A 20,667-nucleotide genomic window follows, 5' to 3' on the forward strand; every position below is an offset into this window, starting at 1 on the left:
GGTCCTGTGGCTTTCCTTCAGTGCTGTTTTCTTGGAAATTTTTATTTATTATTAAATCAGTTTTAAAACCCTATAGAGAATAAATGGTTTCACTCAATCATTGATTCACTCAATCAACACACATTTTTGCACCGCCCACCCGCCCCCCCGCACTGTGTCCTAGGCATCAGGCTGAGGGTCTGGGAAGAAGGAGAGTAAGACACCAAGTCCCTGCTCCGGAGGGGCTGAGAGTTTAGTGAAAGGACAGGCTGTCATCTTGCACTTAAAACAAAGCATGACTCGTTGTAATTCAGAAGGGTAGAGGAAACAGCTTTCCCTGGGACAATTGTGAAGGCTTCAGAAAGAATGGGACCTTTGGCCAGGTGCAGTGGCTCACACCTATAATCCCAGTATTTTGGGAGGCTGAGGCAGGCAGATCACTTAGGGTCAGGAGTTCGAGATGGCCTAACTAACATGGTGAAACCCCATCTCTACTGAAAAAAAAAAAGAAAGAAATTAACCAAACATGGTGGCACGCGCCTCTGTAATCCCAGCTACTTGGGAGGCTGAGGTGGGAGAATTGCTTGAATCCAAGAGGCAGAGGTTGCAATGAGCCAAGATTGCACCACTGCACTCCAGCCTGGGCAATAGAGTGAGACTCCATCTTTTTTTTTTTTTTTTTTTTTTTGAGACAGGAGTCTCGCTCTGTGGCCCAGGCGGGAGTGCAGTGGCGCAATCTTGGCTCACTGCAAGCTCCGCCTCCCGGGTTCACGCCATTCTCCTGCCTCAGCCTCCCGAGCAGCTGGGACTACAGGCGCCCACCATCACGCCCGGCTAACTTTTTTGTATTTTTAGTAGAGACGGGGTTTCACCGTGTTAGCCAGGATGGTCTCGATCTCCTGACCACGTGATCCGCCCGCCTCGGCCTCCCAAAGTGCTGGGATTACAAGCGTGAGCCACCGCGCCCCGCCGAGACTCCATCTTAAAAAAAAAAAAAAAAAAAAAGAATGAGACCTCTTAGCTTGGTCTTTAAGGGAAGGGGAAAGGGCCAAGGAGAAAACGCAGGGGGCCAAGGGTTGGCAGGGATTGTGGGGGTGCTGTGACACACTGAGATTGTAAAGGACATCATACACCATACTAAGAAATTTGAACTTGCCTTCTGAAGGCAACAACAAGTAAAGAGACGCTTCTAACCAAGGGAGACACATAATCAGGTATGTTTTATATCAGGATCACTCTGACCACAGGGTCCAATATGGACTACAGTGGTAGGGAGAACAGAGGGCCAGCAAAGCAGTTAAGAGGCTGCTGTGGGGTCCAGGAGAGGGATAAGGAGAGCCTGCTCAAGGAAACTGGCAGCGAGGATGAAGAACAGGCACCGGAATTAAGATGCTACCTGATGCAGAATCTGCAAGTTCAATCTGGGGGAAGAGGAGACTGGGGTTGTCGGGATGACCCAGAGGCTCCTGGCTTAGCAGACAAACTGGATGGTGACACCACGTGATATCAATACTTTTACACAGTTTTCATTCCTCTTATCTTCCAATCTTTATCCATGTAAATGCACTTGCTTTGCCGGGCGCGGTGGCTCACGTCTGTAATCCCAGCAGTGTGAGAGGCCGATGCAGGTGGATCACTTGAGTCCAGGAGTTCGAGACCAGCCTGGCCAACATGGTGAAACCCCGTCTCTACTAAAAATACAAAAATTAGCCAGACATGGTGGCACACGCTTGTATTCCCAGCTATTCTGAAGGCTAAGGCAGGAGAATCACTTGAGCCCAGGAGGCAGAGGTCGCAGTGAGCCAATATCCCACCATTGCACTCCAGCCTGGGCAACGCAGTAAGACTCTGTCTCAAAAAAAAAAACAAAAACAAAAATAAATAAATAAATGCACATTGCTTTCATTGGTTTCTTCAGATATGTGCAACTCTTTCCCAATACTTTTTCATATTTCTACACACTCACATCTATCATTTTAATGACTACAGAGTATTTCATCATACTGAAATACCTCAGTTTCCTTCAGTTGCTAAAGGTCCACATCCTACATGGCTGGTTTACCCTCTAGACTCATTTGGCTTTGGGTATTTTGCAAGGGATGAGTTGAGCCTTTAGGGAAAAAGAGCCTTTAGGCAAAAGGTGTTGGAGAAGTGTGGCCTCCGGGGAAGCTGCAACTCTCCTGGGAGGGGCCTGGGCAACCGCATTGCTGTATTGCAGGTAAAAAATGCGGAACTATGGAAAAGAACCTGTCATCCATGGGGAGCCTGAGGTCCAAGTTTCCACAGAAGCTGGTTTTCATGTCCTAACTCCCTAATCCATTTGTTCATTCATGTGTTCATGTATTCACTCCTTCTACAAAGCATTCCTGTGAATGCAGAGGGCAACACAGCAGAGCTGAAACCATGTCTATGCTCTGGATGTAACTTAGGCTCTGAAACCTGCTCTACAACTTACACAAGTTATTCAACATCTGAAAGCCTCAGTTTCCCCCACAAGTTTGTTAACTCAGAGAAAACTTGTAAAATGCTAGGGACTGAACTAGGCACAGACTAAGCTCAATAACAGTTTTCAGTCTTGGTTTTCTCCTTATGCTTTTTTGACTCCCACCACTGTACCTTGAGTTTCTTTTTTTTGTATTTTTATTTATTTATCTATTTGAGACAGAGTCTTGCTCTGTCGCCCCAGGCTGGAGGGCTGTGACACAATCTCCACTCACTGCAGCCTCCGCCTCCCGAGTTCAAGCGACTTTCCTGCCTCAGCCTCCTGAGTGAGTAGCTGAGATTACAGGCATGAGCCACCACACCTGGCTAATTTTTGCATTTTTAATAGAGACAGGGTTTCACCATGTTGGCCAGACTGGTGTTAAACTCCTGACCTCAGGTGGATCTGCCCACCTTGGCCTCCCAAGGTGCTGGGAGCCACTGCACCCAGCTGTACCTTGAGTTTCTGACCAAACCCACTGGGTAGCCATCCATGAGCTGCAGCTCAGGTCCTAAATCTGCCAGAGTGAACTAGACCCACTCACTTGATCTTTGCTTCCTATCTGTGAAATGGAGATAAGACAATCTACTTCTCGGAAATGTTGGGAAGCTCTCATGAAGACTGTATAAGAAAATACTTTCAAAGCTCCAAAGCACTATGTCATTATTGACTGTTAACTTTTGTTAGAGACATTTTGTTTTCTTTGTTTTTCCCTTTAAAAAAACTCTGACCTCAGCGTAAGCTCCCTGGATTGTAATTACTGGGTCAAAGGATCTGAAAATTTTTTAGATCCTGATTTGTTATTGCCCAATTGTCCTTAGAGAAGACTCTATATTTTGCTGCCAGCCTTCACTCAAAGACATCTTTCAATATGCTTCAGCACCTAGAGTATAGTTTTTGCTGCCTCTGTATCCAGTCTCGCTCCTCAATTGAACATTCAGGGAGTTCTATCAACTGTTTCTCTCTTCCTTTTCACAGGATGAATGAACACTGAATCCTTTAGAAAACAGCTCCAAACATTTCCACCATAGTCAGGGACTCCAGTGTTGCCTTAGGGATGAGGACTCCATGGATATTTAACGAAGAAAGGGGAAGAGGACAGGGGACAGAGGCCTGAGAATCCCCTGGGAAGGGCTAGAAGCTCATCCAGCATTGAAAGATGACATCAGAGCCGCTATTCAAAAAGAACCCAAGTAAGAAGGCAACCAATCAAACTGACACCTTCCTGTTATTTAGCAAAACATTAACCAGTCTCACAGGAGCCATAAAGCTGTCCTTAGAGCCATATTTCCCCCGAGTTATAAGGTTTATCTATGAGCCTCCGGCACATCTGCAAATCTAACATATTTCTCACAAGTGGGGCAACTCCAAGTCTCATTTCCCCAACCCTTCAGGTGACCTGCAGGAAGAAAAAAGGGTGCCACTGCATCACATTGGCTGTTCCCTTCTGTACCTCAAGTACACTTTCCAGTCTCTTCACTTGGCTGTTTGTCAGCCTTCGGATTCAAAGCAGTTCCCCCATCACCCTTCCAAAGGTGAACCCCCCATCACCCTTCCAAAGGTGAACCCCACCTACCTTCACTCATTCCCTAGCATGTCACTGGTGTTTTTCCTTCACAGCGCTTATCACAAACTCTAATTCTTTTATTTATTTATTTTTTTTTTTGAGACAGAATCTTGCTGTGTCACCCAGGCTAGAGTGCAGTGGTGCGATCTCGGCTCACTGCAACCTCCACCTCCCAGGTTCAAATGATTCTCCTGCCTCAGCCTCCCAAGTGGCTGGGACTACAGGCACATGCCATCATGCTCAGCTAATTTTTTCATATTTTTAGTAGAGATGGGGTTTTGCCATGTTGGCCAAGCTGGTCTCAAACTCCTGACTTCAAGTGATCCTCCTGCCTCGGTTTCCAAAAATGTTGGGATTACAGGTGTCAGCCACTGTGCCCAGTCTCTAATTATTTTACATTTTTAGCTTAAAAATGTTTTAACTAAAAAAACCCCAAAGAAATAAACAACCAAAAACCACCTCTTGTTACAATGTCAGCTGTGATGGCAGAGACAGAGCTATCACCATGCCCACTGCAGTTCCTGCCATGGTGCCTGGCCCCTAGGAGAGCCTCCCTAAATATGTTGAATGAATGGATAAAAAAAGGGAGGACCCGAGCAGTAAATAAGGTGCCCCGATGCACTATTCACCCTGATTATATGAGTAATACATATTGATTGCAGCAAAAAAATTTGAAAATACATATGAGCAAATGAAAGAAAAAATAAACACCCATGATCCAACCACCCACACCATGTGGACACCCTTCCAAATGTTTTTCCTGTCTATATCTATATAAAGGCAGCACATATTTTTATTAAAATGGTTCATTTACTGAATTGTAATCTGCTGTCTTTCCACCTCACAGTTTATCAACCTTTCTTAATAAAGGAACGTCAGCCACATCGCTGTTAAAGGCTATATAACACTCCGCTGTGCAGCTCAACCATGAAGTGTTGAATGATTCTGGAGTTCAGCTGAAGGGAGGTTTCTTCAATGTCAATAAAGGTAAAATGCTTTATTCCAGCACTTCCCCCTTGCCAAGCTTCCCATTTTTTCCCTCTGTGTTTGTATTGCTTTAGAGCTGTATTTCTACAGAACTGTATTCCCCACCGCCCATTCACCACCTGGAGTTATTAGAGTCCTCGTCAACTAGAGAAGCAAAATTGTTTGCAGCCGGAAAAGCTGATGTATGACGAAGCAAGGACGATGCCTTGAAGTTCAAATTGGGAATGTGCTGCTGATACAGGAAACAGAAATGAAGAGTGTGCTTTCTTGCCAAGATTTGAATAGGGAGAAGAGGAAAAGATTTTCTGCACGCCTTCACTTCTTCCCAAGCCCTACCCTCGAGGAGAGGTTTTTCCCAAGGGATAGGCTGTTCCCCACCATGCTGACTGATGCTGTAAGCAGTTTGCAGACCAAGCCCATGGCTCCATTTACAGACTCACTGGCTGCAAAAAAAATCCAAGAGGGCATGATCAGAAGGTTCCACCCCTTCCACAAACAGCTCTTTCAGCCCCTGGTGTGGTTCAGCAGCACGAAGGACTGCTCACTTGGCATGTTTAGCTCTGACAATCCCATTCCTTCCATCAGGAAAAGGCACAGGCACAGGAGGGCGCCACCTGAAGGAAGGGACAAGATGCCATAAAATCATAGATGGCTCCAGAGGAACGGAAGGGAGAAAAAGGGTGGGCCGTTCACTTCTGAGCTTCACCCCACTGTGACCCCAAAACCTATGGAGAGGTTAGTTCATCTCTGCTTTTCCACCCACCTTACATAGCATACCATCAGAATTAAATCTTTGCCTACAGAAAAAGAGAATTCCAGCCAGGTGTGGTGGCTCACGCCTGTAATCCCAGCACTTTGGGAGGCCAAGGTGGGAGGACTGCTTGAGCCCAGAATTGCTTGAGACCAGCCTGGGCAACATGAGGAGACCCTGTATGTAGAAAAAATTTAAAAACAAAGGAAAATTAGCCGAGTACAGTGGTGTGAGCCTGTGGTCCCAGTTACTTGGGAGGCTGAGGCAGTAGGATTGCTTTGGCTCAAAAGGTCAAGGATGCAGTGGGTCGTGATTGCACTATTGCACTCTGGCCTGGGCGACAGGGTGGGACCCTGTCTCAAAAGAAAAGAAAAAGAGAATTCTTAATTGTGTCTATAGTCATTAATTTTCAATGACATTTTAAAAGATTGATAAAGTGTATTAATTTATCAATGCCATTAAAAAAAGATTTGTTGTTTTACAGAAATACCATCATTAGAAGACAAAAGGATTTAATGTGAAATATAATGACAGAAGAACTATTACCACCAATATCTCTGATCAATTGCTTAGTTTCTGCCATTATTACAGAAAGTGATTTCTACCCATTTATAATGCAATCCTTACAACATTATGAAAGATATTTTATTACTTCCCTGTTTTCAGATGAGAAAATGGAGGGACAAACAGTTCAAGTACTTTGCCATAGGTTACATACCTACGAGGAGGTGAACCAGGATTCTAGACCAAGTCTTAGCTCCCTGCTTTGCATAAATCATTCCACCTGCCTTGCTTCTCCAGCCCGTTTTCCTTTCTGTAAACATTAACTAAATCCCTCAGTGACCAAGCTCCACCTGAAATACTACACTAAGGCTGGGCATGGTGGCTCATGCCTGTAATCCCAGCACTTTGGGAGGCCGAGGTGGGCAGATCATTTGAGGTCGGGAGTTCGAGACCAGCCTGACCAACACATAGAGAAACCCTGTCTCTACTAAAAAAAAAAAAATACAAAAATTAGCAGGGCGTGGTGGTGCATGCCTGTAATCCCAGCTACTCGGGAGGCTGAGGCATGAGAATCACTTGAACCCAGGGGGCAGAGGTTGATTGCGCCATTGCACTCCAGCCTGGGCAAAAAGAGCGAAACTCCATCTTAAAAAAAAATAATAATAATAATACACTACTCATCTATAAAACAGCCACAATTATCACCTACTTCACTGTGTTATTGTGAGCACTGACTACAATAATAGGTAGAACTTAGGAAATTGCCAATTCCAACTGTCTTTGGCTATAAAAAGCAACAATTACATAGGAAACATAATCAGTAAAAGTTTGGGTAAAACTTAAATGTTTGGTAAACTCTTAAATAAATGTATGTACCTGATTATCTTGGCTTTTGACATTTGCTTTTTTTTCTTTTAATTTGAGAGTTTGGGGCATTTTTGTTGACAATTGCTGTTTTAATATTCAAACTCGCAAAGTTGTGTATGATAGAAGCTGACAGTCAGACCCCGGGCTTGGTCAGCCTTAAGTTTTAATCCCTTCATTTTCTCATCTATAAAATAAAGACAGTGTCCGGGCACTGTGGCTCACGCCTGTAATCCCAGCACTTTGGGAGGCCATGGCAGACGGATCACCTGAGGTCAGGAGTTCGAGACCAGCCTGGCCAGCATGGCAAAAGCCCATCTCTACTAAAAATACAAAAATTAGCCAGACGTGGTGACGTGCACCTGTAATCTCAGCTACTTGCGAGGCTGAGACAGGAGAATCACTTGAACCCAGGAGGTGGAGGTTGCAGTGAGAAGAGATCACGCCACTGCACTCCAGCCTGGGTGACAAAGCAAGACCATCTCAAAGAAAAAAAAAAAAATGAAGAAACTAATGGTACTCATTGTCAGATGTAAATTATTTCATGTAGAGTACTTAGCACAGGGCACAGAAAATTTAAGAGCTCAGTAAATATTAACATTTTCTATTACTTATTATTATTGTTTTTATTAACAGACTTGCTTTCATTAAGATGCTGTTGGTATAAAGCTGCCCACTGCAGCATTATTTATAATAAAAGCCAGACACAAATTAAATTTCCCACTATAGGGAAAGGGCATAGTAGGATTCTGAAAGAACCATCTTTAGAATTAATGAAAATCACTTTAATTACAATGTAAGCCCCTGCTTTGCTACTTGGGGGCAGTACGATTTTGAGCAAGTCATTTATTTTCTCTGGACCTGTTTCCTCACCTCAGAAATGAAGGGTTTGCTCTCAATGACTCCCATGTCTTCTCATGATTTAAAGTTACATAGTCCTGGCCAGACAGGGTGGCTCACGCCTATAATCCCAGCACTTTAGGAGGCCAAGGCAGGCAGATCACTCAAGTCAGGAACTTGAGACCAGCCTGGCCAACATGGCGAGACCCCATCTCTACTAAAAATACAAAAATTAGCCAGGTGTGGTGGCGGGAGCCTGTAGTCCCAGTTACTCGGGAGGCTGGGGCGGGAGAATCACTTGAGCCTGGGAGACAGAAGTTGCAGTGAGCCGAGACTGTGCCATTGCGCTCCAGTCTGGGTGACAGAGCGAGACTCCATCTCAAAAGAAAAACAAAGCAAAAAAATAATAATAAAGTTATATAGTCCTAAGGTTCTCAATACATTAAAATCCATCAACCTCAAGGACAACATACAACTGAGGACATAAGAAAATGGTAGAAACGGCCAGTTGCGGTGGCTCATGCCTATAATCCTAACACTTTGGGAGGCCGAGGCGGGCAGATCATGAGGTCAGGAGTTCGAGACCAGCCTGGACAGCATGGTGAAACCCCGTTTCTACTAAAAATACAAAAAATTAGCTGGCCGTGGTGGCACGTGCCTGTAATCCCAGCTACTTAGGAGGCTGAGGCAGGAGAATTGCTTGAACACGGGAGGCAGAGGTTGCAGTGAGCCAAGATTGTGCCACTGCACTCCAGCCTGGGTAACAGAGCGAGACTCCATCTCAAAAAAAAAAAAGAAAGAAAATGGTAGAAACACAAGAAACTATTTTATAAATTAATATTCCCAATCTTCTTTCACCCTACTCTTTGTTTCCATAACATTTGTCACCTCCTAACATCGTTTGTATTATGTTTATTGTCTTTCTCCATGAACTAGACCTAAGCCCATGACAGTAGGCATTTATGGCTGGTCTGTCCACGAATGTGTCCCCAGCCCCTAGAACAATGTCTGGCATATAGTAGGAGCTCAGTTAGCATTCATTGAATTTAAAAATGTGAATATTAAGTTAAAAGAACAAAGTACAAAACTACATATATCATAAAATGCAAAAATTACCTTTTGTTTTTGTTTATTTTTTTTGAGACAGAGCTTCGCTCTTGTTGCCCAGGCTGAAGTGCAATGGTGCAATCTCGGCTTACCGCAACCTCCACCTCCCAGGTTCAAGCGATTCTCCTGCCTCAGCCTCCCTGGTAGCTGGAATTACAGGCATGTGCCACCATGCCCAGCTAATTTTGTATTTTTAGTAGAGATGGGGTTTAGTAGAGATGGGGTTTCTCCATGTTGGTCAGGCTGGTCTCGAACTCCCGACCTCAGGTGATCTGCCCACCTCAGCCTCCCAAAGTGCTGGGATTACAGGCATGAGCCACCACACCCGGCCAAAAATTACATTTATAATTATGTATATTACATGTATATGTATGTATACAATAAATACGTAATAAAGTTATATATAATAGAATGCAAAATTGTATATACAATTAATATAAAATATGTACCCCTATGGAGAAATGGTAGAGAGGATCAGAGAAGGTAAAACTCAATGATAACAAGATGAATGTGGAAGTGAAATAATATTCTTTTTCATTTTTCTTTAACGTTTTGAACCATTTTGTTTGTCCAAAAAGATGGCATTTTAAAAAGGAAGAGTGTGAACAGGAGAAATATGGAAGAGAAGAGGAAGCAGAAGTGGCCAAGGGAGAGAACCTGATGGAGAAAATAAGGAAAGATAGGAGGGGCCAAAGCAAACAGAAGGCTCATGGCTGGTAGTTACTCTATTAATGGAAATAGAATCACACAGGCAGAAAGAAAAGTGAGTAGATAAAGGAAAGACAATTTACCTTGAACTTTTAATTCCAAGCTAATATCTATTAAACTACTCCTAGGTTGATAGAATTTCCCCCCATTAACTGCCTCAATCCACAGAAGCTTTGGTAAATTTTAGCACAAAGGAACACTTGGAACTGTTACGTGTTACTGTTCTTCATTCCGAACCTTCTGTTGATCAGCTGCTTTGGAGGCAAGAAGAAAGAGGCCCACATTCTAAGACTAACTGAATGCCACAGGCATTTTCATTAGCCAACTGATCCATCAAGCATTTCATCTAGGGTCACCTACTTGGGGGACATAGAGTGTAGGAAACAGACTTGTCTTCTAGGGGATGAAAGGCACACTACTTACTCCAATACAAAGCAACGCACAACTGCCAAATAAATGACACGGATGATATATCCTGTAAAATTAAAGGGCTAGAAGAGTTCCTTCCAGCTTGGGAAGGTCAGGGGAGGGTGGCAGGGAGATGTCCAGGGAAGGACTTGTCCTGCACTTTATCCAATAACAGGGACCCTAGTGCTGTTCGTGAGCGGACTCTTGACCCCTTCACCTGGTCCCAACTTGTACTTGAGATCACTTGCTGCTCTTAATGCCTAGAGCCCCCAGGTATTGGCCTGGGTTCCTCATCACAGCCATGCATTTGCCATTTTGAGCAAACCAGGTCAGATCCCCTGTGCACGTGCTCTCAACCTCTGTGCTTCTTGTTTACAGCACACACCATCACTGCAATTGTATGGTTATTGTGTGGTTCCTTAAACACTGTGAGCTCCAGGACGGTAGCGGCCACACTATTTTGTCACCACTGTATCCCCAGTGAGAGCACGGAGCCTGGCACAAGGCGGGCACTCAACAAACAGCTGCAGCTGGTCAAGGAGATGGCATTGGTCCAGCCTGAATCAGCACAGGCCTAGGTTTTAACGCTACTGTGAATCCCCAGCATGGCCACAGAGCTGGAACCAGGGAATCAGATAAGCAAGACAAGGAGGTAAGATTGAACCCTCGCCCAAAATTAGCCTAAATGATCAGGTCACTACTGTGTAACCTAGTATTTGAAATACAGAGATTTAGACAGAATGACAGGAAAAAGTCAAACATAAACTAAAAGTCCGAAAGAGCTTAGGTTCTCACAGTCACTTTTTGAGGCTACAAAAGGAAAGATATTGCATAAACCTTAAAAAAAATGGACCAGTTAAGAAGTGTAACTGGTTTAGCAAGCTTCCCTTCTAAAATCCTGGTGCCGATTTCATGTTAGAACACAGGTTTAATGAGAACGTATCCCTCTCCCCAAGTTGTAATACACAGAAGAGGGCAAAGGGGAGAATGTTACCTTGCCCAAGCTCTGGTCTTATCTCAACCCACAGACTTGGAGAAAATGTCTATAGTCCATTTCAGTATTTACTTAGCTTTTTAATTTTTAATTTTTTTTTTGACACAGACTCTCGCTGTGTCCCCCAGGCTGGAGTGCAATGGTATCATCTTAGCTCACTGCAACTTCCGCTTCCCAGGTTCAAGCGATTCTCCTGCCTCAGCCTCCCGAATAGCTGGGATTACAGGTGCTGGCCACAATGCCCGGCTGATTTTTGTATTTTTAGTAGAGATGGGGTTTCACCATGTTGGCCAGGCTGGTCTCGAACTCCTGATCTCAGGTGATCCACCCACTTCAGTCTCCCAAAGTGCTGGGATTACGTGCTTGAGCCACTGCGCCTGGCCTAGTTTTTTAATTTAATAGGCTGCTTGTACTTATAAGTGCCTGCATCAGAGTTTCTGGATGAAATGAACTAATTTTAGAAATGGGAAAAACTTTGGAATTCACCTTCAATCTAATATTTTTGCTTATGAAAATGCAGGGCCCAAGTGGTTAAGGAACTTGTCTAGGGGCACGATCCCCCAGTCATGAACTCTGGACCCAGGGGGAAGATTAGAGGGATTTATGTCTATACTGTCTTTATTTCCAAAGGTTAGTCTACATCACTGAGGCATCAGTAAAGTCCTGTGAAATATCTATACTAATAAGCAGTGTGCAACATTTGGTATGGTATCTGGTGTGATCTTTCAGGGTAAAAGTAGGTAAATTAATTGCTGTCCTTATTTGGCCCTTACTACACACAACACACAAATCTCTTCCACCATTGCAAAATGTTAGAAGATGTATGTGCTGTGGCCGGACGCGGTGGCTGACACCTGTAATCCCAGCACTCTGAGAAGCTGAGGCAGGCGGATCACTTGAGTTTAGGAGTTTGAAACTAGCCTGGCCAACATGGTGAAGTCCCGTCTCTACTAAAAACACAAAATTAGCTGGGCGTGATGGTGCACACTTGTAGTCCCAGCTACTTGGGAGGCTGAGGCAGGAGAATCACTTGAACCCAGGAGGCGGAGGTTGCAGTGAGCCAAGATCGTGCCACTGCACTCCAGCCTGGGTGACAGAACAAAACTCCGTCTCAAAAAAAAAAAAAAAAAAAAGTATGTGCTGCATGATGAAGAAATAAGTGGAAATGCAGGCTTTCTGAGATTTTCCAGTCACCCATAATAGCAAGGAATGGTATCTTTCTCGGTCACAACACTAAGCTGCTTACAGAGTTCATGTAAATACTGTTTCTTGCTGTTCCACCTCTGCTAGGAACACCTTCCACAACACTCCCACGTTTCCGCACCAAACTCCTACCTACACATCGAGGCTCCCATCAGAAATCTCTACAGACGTCGGAAATCTATAGAGATATTAGATAAGCATTTCAAGGTAACTTATTTCCTCATTTTACCTTATGGTAACAGCCCTATTTACCTCTTACAAGCGTTCTACGGTGTATCAAAAAGACCAACAACAGTAAGAGGTTTGCATAGCACTGTGTATTCCATTGAGAAAAGTGCTACAAAAACACAAGATAGCATTTTATTAATTTATTAAATCTGATTCCTTGAGACACATACAAAGCGGTGTTGATGGATGAACCAACAAACCCAAGATTAATAGCCTGGTTTACTGCACTCTTTTCTCCTTCCAAGCCACAAGCCAAAATAAACTCACCCTCAATTTATAATGTTGCAAAATGTGCTTCTAAGCACCAATGCCTGAATCCACTGTGGTTATTAAAAGGATGGTTGCATCCATCGGGATGGGATAGGTTATGCTGTGGTAACAAAGAACACCTAAATCTCAGCCCTAAGGATGACCACAATGGTCCCTCTGGGGTCAAGAAGGTAAGCCCAGCAGCCCCATCTTTCTCATTTTCACCTGACAATCTGGTTAGCCAACTCTGTGGCTTACATAAGTTTGAAAGATATGACCCTCTCCTTTCCTTCTCCAACCACCTACAAAACTGTCTCGTGGAGCGCAGTGAGAATCAGAAGTGATTATCTTTGTAAAACATCGAGAATGCTGCCTGGCATATAGGTAGCAGCCAGTAAATAATAATGATGGCTACTACCATTGTCACTTCCATTATCCCCACCCCTTCTCAAATAATAATAATAATGATATTATAATTCTCACAGAGCAGTGATTCCTGAACTTAACTTGTCCTGAACATTAGAATCATCTGGAGAGCTTAAAAAAACTAATGCTTGTGTCCCACCCCTAGAGTCTATGAAGTAATTCATCTAGTGTATGACCTTAGGCTTGGGATTTTAAAAGATTGCCAGGTGATTCCAAAGTGTAGACAAGTTTGGAAACCAGCCTCAAGAGGCAGCAAGATTCATATATACACATACATGTCTTTGTGTTTGCACACACACACACACACACACACCTGCTCCCAAGTTCCATGAATCATGCTCCCTGTATGACAGTAGTGGTTATATCACTTAGGGTGAGCTGGGTTATGCTGTGGTAACAGAGCCCCTGAATCTCATCCCTAATGAAAACCAATTGATCACCCCTGCAGGGTCACAATGAGCCCAGAAGCCCTGTTTTTCTGGTCTTTACCTGACAGTTAAGCCTATTCTTTTTTCTTTTTCAGTCTTTACTTGACATTTAAGCCTATTTTTCCTTCCTTCCTTCCTCCCTCCTCCCTCCCTCCCTCCCCCCAGCCTCTCTTTCTTTCTTTCTTTCTTGGCTCTTGCTCTGTCACCCAGGCTGGAGTGCAGTAGCATGACCATGGTTCACTGCAGCCTTGACCTCCAGGGCTCCAGTGATCCTCCCACCTCAGACTCCCAAGTAGCTGGGACTACAGACACACACGACTGTGCCTGGCTGATTTTTGTTCTTTTCTTTTCTATTTTCTTTTTGTGTGTGTAGACACAGGGTCTTGCTGTGTTGCTAGGACTGACCTCAAACTCCTGGGCTCAAGCAATCCTCCCACCACAGCCTCCCTAAATGCTGAGATTACAGGCATGAGCCACTGTGCATGGCCTAAGCCTCTGCATTTTATCCTCAGACCTTTCTCATGTTCTATTTTCTTCTACTTCATACCTTTCCCCAAGTCCAGGTAAAGTTTGCCTGGCCCAGAGTAAATCAGCACCCAAAGATGACACCAATGTGGACAGACTTAGGGGAAATCTGGTTAGAAGAAGGCCACTAAAGGCTATCAGTACTTAAGGCTGTACTTTGCTCAATTCTCTGTCCCCAAGACTTAAAACACAGCACACAATGTGGTAGAAATTTGGATAGTTAAATCAGTTATCATCAGTAATAACCTAGAAGAAAAGCAGACACAAGAACTCAAAAAGCACAGCATCTAAGCTGAAAACCTTATTTATCAACTTGTCACCAACCACCATTTGAATTTCAAATTTTTTTATTGCCGGCACGATGGCTCACACCTGTAATCCCAGCACTTTGGGAGGTGGAGGTGGGCGGATTACTTGAAGTCAGGTGTTCCAGACCAGCCTGGCCAACATGGTGAAACCCCATCTCTACTAAAAATAAAAAAAATTGGCCGGCGTGGTGGCACATGCCTGTAATCCCAGCACTTTGGGAGGCCGAAGCAGGTGGATCATGAGGTCAGGAGATCAAGACCATCCTGGCTAACATGGTGAAACCCCGTCTCTACTAAAAATACAAGAAATTAGCCAGGGATAGTGGCGGGTGCCTATAGTCCCAGCTACTTAGGAGGCTGAGGCAGGAGAATGGTGTGAACCTGGGAGGCAGAGCTTGCAGTGAGCCGAGATCGCGCCACTGCACTCCAGCCTGGGCGACAGAACGAGACTCCATCTCAAAAAAAAAAAAAAAAATACAAAAAATACAAAAAATTAGCCAAGCTAATTAGCCAAGTGGCACACGCCTGTAATCCCAACTACTTGGGAGGCTGAGGAATGAGAATCGCTTGAACCCGAGAGATGGAGGTTGTAGTGAGCCAAGATCGTGCCACTGCCCTCCAGCTTGGGCAAAGAGTGAGACTCTGTCTCTGGGGAAAAAAAATATTAATTTCTCCCTGGATAAAATTGTATCTGCTGGGGTGGAATGGAAGTAGGTGAGGTTGGGGGACCTATGAAGAAAAAAGAGCCTTTCCACTGGGCAGTGAAGTGTGTACACACACACTGGGGGCAGAGCAGTGTGAAAACATTCTGCACCAGCACACAAATGACTTTTGGCAAATCATCTTCCTGATCTGTCGGATGTTACGTCTCTGCAGAATCTGGAGAAAACCAGAAAACCCAGCTTGTTTGCCCTCATTTTGGCAGTTTAATTTAGGAATCACACTGGCTTTACATAAACTCTTTACCAAAAAAACTGTATTCTGTATTTTGAAGGCACAAGTTAACATGGGCCCAAGGGAAGGAAGCATTGTATACAATTACATAATAGCTACTCTATTACTTTAAAACCTAATGGCAGCCTCGGGCAGAAAAGTCAAAAGGGGAGAGAAACCATTTCTGTGAAATTATCTGATGCAATCATCTCTTTGGAGACATTGTCAGTTGACAATGGTTCTGCTTTTTCTCTCGAGCTCATTCAATTTCTGTTATTTACCTGAACCTGGAAGCAGAGTTTTCCTCCCATCTACCACTGGTTTAAAAAAAAAAAAAAAAAAGAGGCCGGGAGCAGTGGCTCACGCCTGTAATCCCAACACTTTGGGAGGCTGAGGCGGGTGGATCACGAGGTCAGGAGTTCAAGACCAGCCTGGCCAAGATGGTGAAACCCCCGTCTCTACTAAAGATACAAAAATTAGCCGGCTGTGATGGCGGGCGCCTGTAATCCCAGCTACTCGGGAGGCTGAGGCAGAGAATTGCTTGAATCTGGGAGGCAGAGATTGCAGTGAGCCGAGATCATGCCACTGCACTCCAGCCTGGGCAACAGAGACTCTGTCTCAAAAAAAAAAAAAAAAAAAAAAAAACAAAGGCAGGCAGGATTTCTCTAATAAAAGCTTGAAATGAAAAGCAGTAACTACTCCCAAGGCCCTGCTTATTGTAGAAAAGTCATTCAACAAATCTTTTTAGGTCTCTATTAACAATTTATTTTCTCTACCCCCATCACAAAAAAGCAGAGGAAGTAGTGTAGCAGCCCCAGCCACAGCCACAGCCACACCCCACTACTTGCTTCCTAGGTGTGTGTGGTGTGTGACTGCCTGCAAGCAACTCCAGCTCTCTGAACTTGTTTCCTCATCTGCAAACTGGAAATATTTATTTATTTGACAAGGACATTATGAGAATTTACTCTGAAAAATACATGTAGAGTACCTAGCATTCAATTAAGACTAGGTGAATGCCCTTCTCAGGAACCGTACTAGAGAAGGTGAGTTTCTGGTCCAGTGTGATGACTCACGCCTGTAATCCCAGCACTTTAGGAGGCTGAGGTGAGAGGATGGCTTGAACCCAGGAGTTTGAGACCAGACTGGGCAACTTAGCAAGACCCCATCTCTATTATTAATATTTTAAAAAATAAGAAAAAGGTGAGTGTCTAATAAGAGATAATACTTTTACCCATCTTTGTACGCCAATCCTACCACATCTACTCCACTCCTTCCCCATCAAGAGGCATTCTTCAGTCAGGCACACCTTACCTCCAATTCCAAGGGCAGGTCCTGAATGGTCTAAGCCAATCAGTATTATCCCATTTCCCACCACAATTAATTGAAAGATGAATGCATGTCCTGAAATGATCCAATCAGGACAAAGTTCAGGAAGTTTGTTCAGTGGCTCTAGGGAGAGATGGTAGCTCTTTTCTCTCACGACTATGAAGGAAGTCAATCTGAGAAGAGCCCACAGACAGAAGTACAGAGCTGGGAGGATCTTAAGGAAAGGAAGACGGAGCCCTGACCTATCCTACCTCTACAATTTTTGGTTATGTGAGCCACTTAACTGCTTTTATCAATTATCCCATTTGAACTGGGATTTATGACACTTGCAATTCAAAGCATCTAACTGATACATCCTGGTGCATGGCTGAATAAATCACTGAATGAAAGACTGCACACTTCCAATTATTTAACTCAGACTTTAAGTTCCCTGGGAGCAGAAACCCTGGTCAATCTTGGTCACCCAGGGCCAAACAGAGTTTCTGTACACAGGCCCTCCTTAAGTACTTTTTAAAATAAATGAATGAAATGAAACTTAACAAATCACGATCAGGCGCAGTAGCTCGTACCTGTAATCCCAGCACTTTGGGAGGCCAAGGTGGGTGGATCACCTGAGGTCAGGAGTTTGAGACCAGCCTGGCCAACATGGCGAAACCCCGCCTCTACTAAAAATACAAAAATTAGCTGGGCATGGTGGCGGGCACCTGTAATCCCAGTTACTCAGGAGGCTGAGGCAGGAGAATAGGATAATCGCTTAAACCTGGGAGGCAGAGGTTGCAGTGAGCCAAGATCGATCGCTTAAACCTGGGAGGCAGAGGTTGCAGTGAGCCAAGATCAAGCCACTGCTTTCCAGCCTGGGCGGCAGAGCGAGACTCTGTCTCAAGAAAAAAAAAAAAAAAAAAAAGGCTGGGCATGGTGGCTCATGCCTGTAATCCCAGCACTTTGGGAGGCCGAGGCAGGCGGATCACAAGGTCAGGAGTTCGAGACCAGCCTGACCAACATGGTGAAACCCCCATCTCCACTAAAAATACAATAATTAGCTGGGCATGGTGGCACGCACCTGTAACCCCAGCTCTCAGGAGGCTGAAGCAGGAGAATTGCTTGAACCCGGGAGGCGGAGGTTGCAGTGAGCCAAGATCATGCCACTGCACTCCAGCCTGGGCGACAGAGCAAGACTCAGTCTCAAAAAAAAAAAAAAAAGAAAGAAAGAAAGAAAGAAACTAGGAAACTTACCAATCACCTCACATTTCAGAAGCTTTGAAAGCCCTACTCCCCAGACCTACCTGGATCAAAGGAGGGTCAAGAGGAAGCCCATATGATTTTGGAGCCATCAGACAGGGCTGGGCTCAAATCGTGACTCTAAATAAGCCTCGGCTTCTTCCCCTGAAAAATGGAGACAATAATACCTATTTCCCTGGGCAGGAGGAGCCATGTCAAAGAACCAGGGGGAGGTCTCATTCAAGAAATATTTATTTCCCCCCTGTTCAGCTAACCCTACTTCATTCCATGGGTTCTGCTCTGGGGTTCAGAAACGGGAGTCATCATATGGACAGAGTGGTGGGACACAGCCCAGATCACCCAGCAGAGCCAGCCCTGGGAGGATGAGAACAGGTGAGGCACACCCTAAGCCTCCCATACCTCAATATCCATCAGTCCCTTTAGGAGCAGCATCCTAGGCAGACAGCATAGATAAAACTGGGCCATCCAGCTTCTTGGTTTTGCTGGTTGCCTCCTTACAGAGGGGTGGGACTAGTGCAACTCCCATTATCATAGATCTGTACAACCTTAGAGGCTGTCATTTAACCGTTTAGAAGTAATATGGAACTTGGCCAGACTGTAAGCTCCAAGAGGGCAGGGGCTTGAATCATTCACTAGTCCATCTCTGGTACCCAGGTAGGCAATCAATGGAATATTTCCTGAGTACATGAGTGAAGATGAATGAGTGGATAAACAAATATTGATGAAATCAAGATCTCAGAAGAGAACTATGGCAAAACCCTATTATTTAGTACAGTCTGCTGGCTATGCAGCAGCTAAATCAAATACCAGGCAATGCAAGGGGCTTCTGAAACTGGCAGACCTAGACTGAATTCTGGCCTTGTCAGAGCCCAGGCCTATGACCTCGGGCAAGTTCCTAAACTCTCTGAGCTAGTTTCTTTAACAAACACAATTATCAAGATTAAATAAAAATTTTTTAATTGCGGCCAGATGCAGTGGCTTGTGCCTGTAATCTCAGCACTTTGGGAGGCCGAGGTGGGAGGATGGCTTGAGCCCAAGAGTTCAAGACCAGCCTGAGCAACATGGGAGACCCCTTCTCTAAACATACAAAAAATTAGCCACGCATGGTGCTGCTTGCCTGTGGTCCCAGCTACTCGGGGAGGCTGAGGTGGATCACCTGAGCCTGGGAAGTCAAGGCTGCAGTGAGCCATGATTGCGCCACTGCACTCCAGCCTGGGCAACAGAGTGAAACCCTGTTTAAAAAAAAAGAAAGAAAGAAAGAACAAAAGAAAGAAGGACAGAAAAAGAAAAAAAATTAGCTAGGTGTGATGTGTGCCTGTAGTCCCAGATACTCAGGAGGGAGGCAGGATGATTGCTTGAGCCTGGGAGACTGAGGCTGCAGTAAGCTAGAATCATACCACTGCACACCAACCTGGGCCACAGAGCAAGGCCTTGTCTCAAAAAAATGAAATAACATAAATTAAAATAAAAATAAACGTGGGGTGATGTCAATTAAAGTGTCTAGCCCAGCATCTATGGCATAAAATAGGGACCCAGAAAATGTCCCTTCCCTATGAATGCCCTTTACGTTTGGAAACAGCTATCATATGTCTCCCCTGTCTCCTATTTCTTGTTAAATATTTCAGCTAATTTAATGGTATCCTTAAATGACTTGATTTCAGAGCCCTCTTCTATCCCTCCCCTCTGCAAAGTCTCCATCTGTTAAAACCCCACTCGGGGTATTGCATAACCAGCTCGCAGAATCAGCAGCACGCTCCTGTTTGCTCATTCATCTGTTAATTCATTCACTGAGTAAACACTGATTAAAAACCTACTATATTGGACATCCTTGGCTTTTGCCTACCCACCATTCACAAACGGTACCCGCATTTCCCTGGAAACCTGCAATCTTTCCCTCATTCTCAGTCTCTGTACCTGAGCAGGTGCAAGCTGCACCCAATCTCCCTCAGGGGGAGGGCATTTGATCCAAGATGGCCAATCAGAGCGTCGCATTTGCCTGCCACAGCGATTGGTTCAGGGCTGTGCATGTTACCCAGAAAAGACCAATCAGAAAGACAGTTGGACTCAGTTCTAAGACTTGTTGAACTACTGGAACAGTGGCCTTTTTTTACCTCCTGCTAGAACCGCTGACAACCATTTTGGACCACAATCCACAAGAAAAGGGAGGCAGCGTTAAAGATGGTGAAAAACTGTGTAAGCCTTGGCAACACTTTAAGCCTTGGATCCTCCAGGCCTTATGTTTCACTCCTAGATTCTTCAATTACATAAACCAACAAATCCCCTTTCTGCGGAAGCCAGTTCGAGGCGAGATTCTGTTTCAAGGTCGACAGAATCCTGACTAATGAAATCCGAAGTGCTGTGGTGTATGCTGCATGCTGGCTATACACAGATGAAGCAAGGTGATCCATACCATCCTTCCAGGCACTCACAGGCTGATGTGGAGACAGCCACAAACAATTACAGCTATTTAAAGCCAATAAGATAACTGCTTTAATTAAATACTACACAGTGCAATATGAGCACAGCAAAGCACCTGGGTCCAGGAAGGCCTCACAGAGCAATGGCGATTAAACCTATTCCCTCTCTCTATTCAGGCAGTGAAGATGGAATT

At 44.6% G+C, this 20,667-nt stretch overlaps 1 protein-coding gene across 63 annotated transcripts in view, besides 3 other annotated features; it reads right to left on the reverse strand.

Annotated features, from left to right (window-relative positions):
• The window catches only part of CYRIB (CYFIP related Rac1 interactor B), a 177,537-nt gene that overhangs the window by 103,356 nt on the left and 53,514 nt on the right, over nt 1-20,667 (reverse strand). The gene's annotated exons all lie outside the window — the stretch shown is intronic.
• Nucleotides 2,400-2,900: an enhancer, noted in NCBI's record as "H3K4me1 hESC enhancer chr8:130957594-130958094 (GRCh37/hg19 assembly coordinates)". NCBI's record gives its function as "activates a minimal SCP1, AML or CMV promoter by ChIP-STARR-seq in naive H9 embryonic stem cells {active_cell/tissue: H9 hESC(naive)}" and the evidence as "EXISTENCE:reporter gene assay evidence [ECO:0000049][PMID:30033119]".
• Nucleotides 16,173-16,673: an enhancer, noted in NCBI's record as "H3K4me1 hESC enhancer chr8:130971367-130971867 (GRCh37/hg19 assembly coordinates)". NCBI's record gives its function as "activates a minimal SCP1, AML or CMV promoter by ChIP-STARR-seq in primed H9 embryonic stem cells {active_cell/tissue: H9 hESC(primed)}" and the evidence as "EXISTENCE:reporter gene assay evidence [ECO:0000049][PMID:30033119]".
• Nucleotides 19,701-19,901: a silencer, noted in NCBI's record as "peak7178 fragment used in MPRA reporter construct". NCBI's record gives its function as "represses an SCP1 promoter by STARR-seq MPRAs in K562 erythroleukemia cells {active_cell/tissue: K562}" and the evidence as "EXISTENCE:reporter gene assay evidence [ECO:0000049][PMID:32103011]".

This window comes from Homo sapiens, chromosome 8 (genome assembly GCF_000001405.40).
Source record: "Homo sapiens chromosome 8, GRCh38.p14 Primary Assembly".
NCBI lineage: Eukaryota > Metazoa > Chordata > Mammalia > Primates > Hominidae > Homo > Homo sapiens.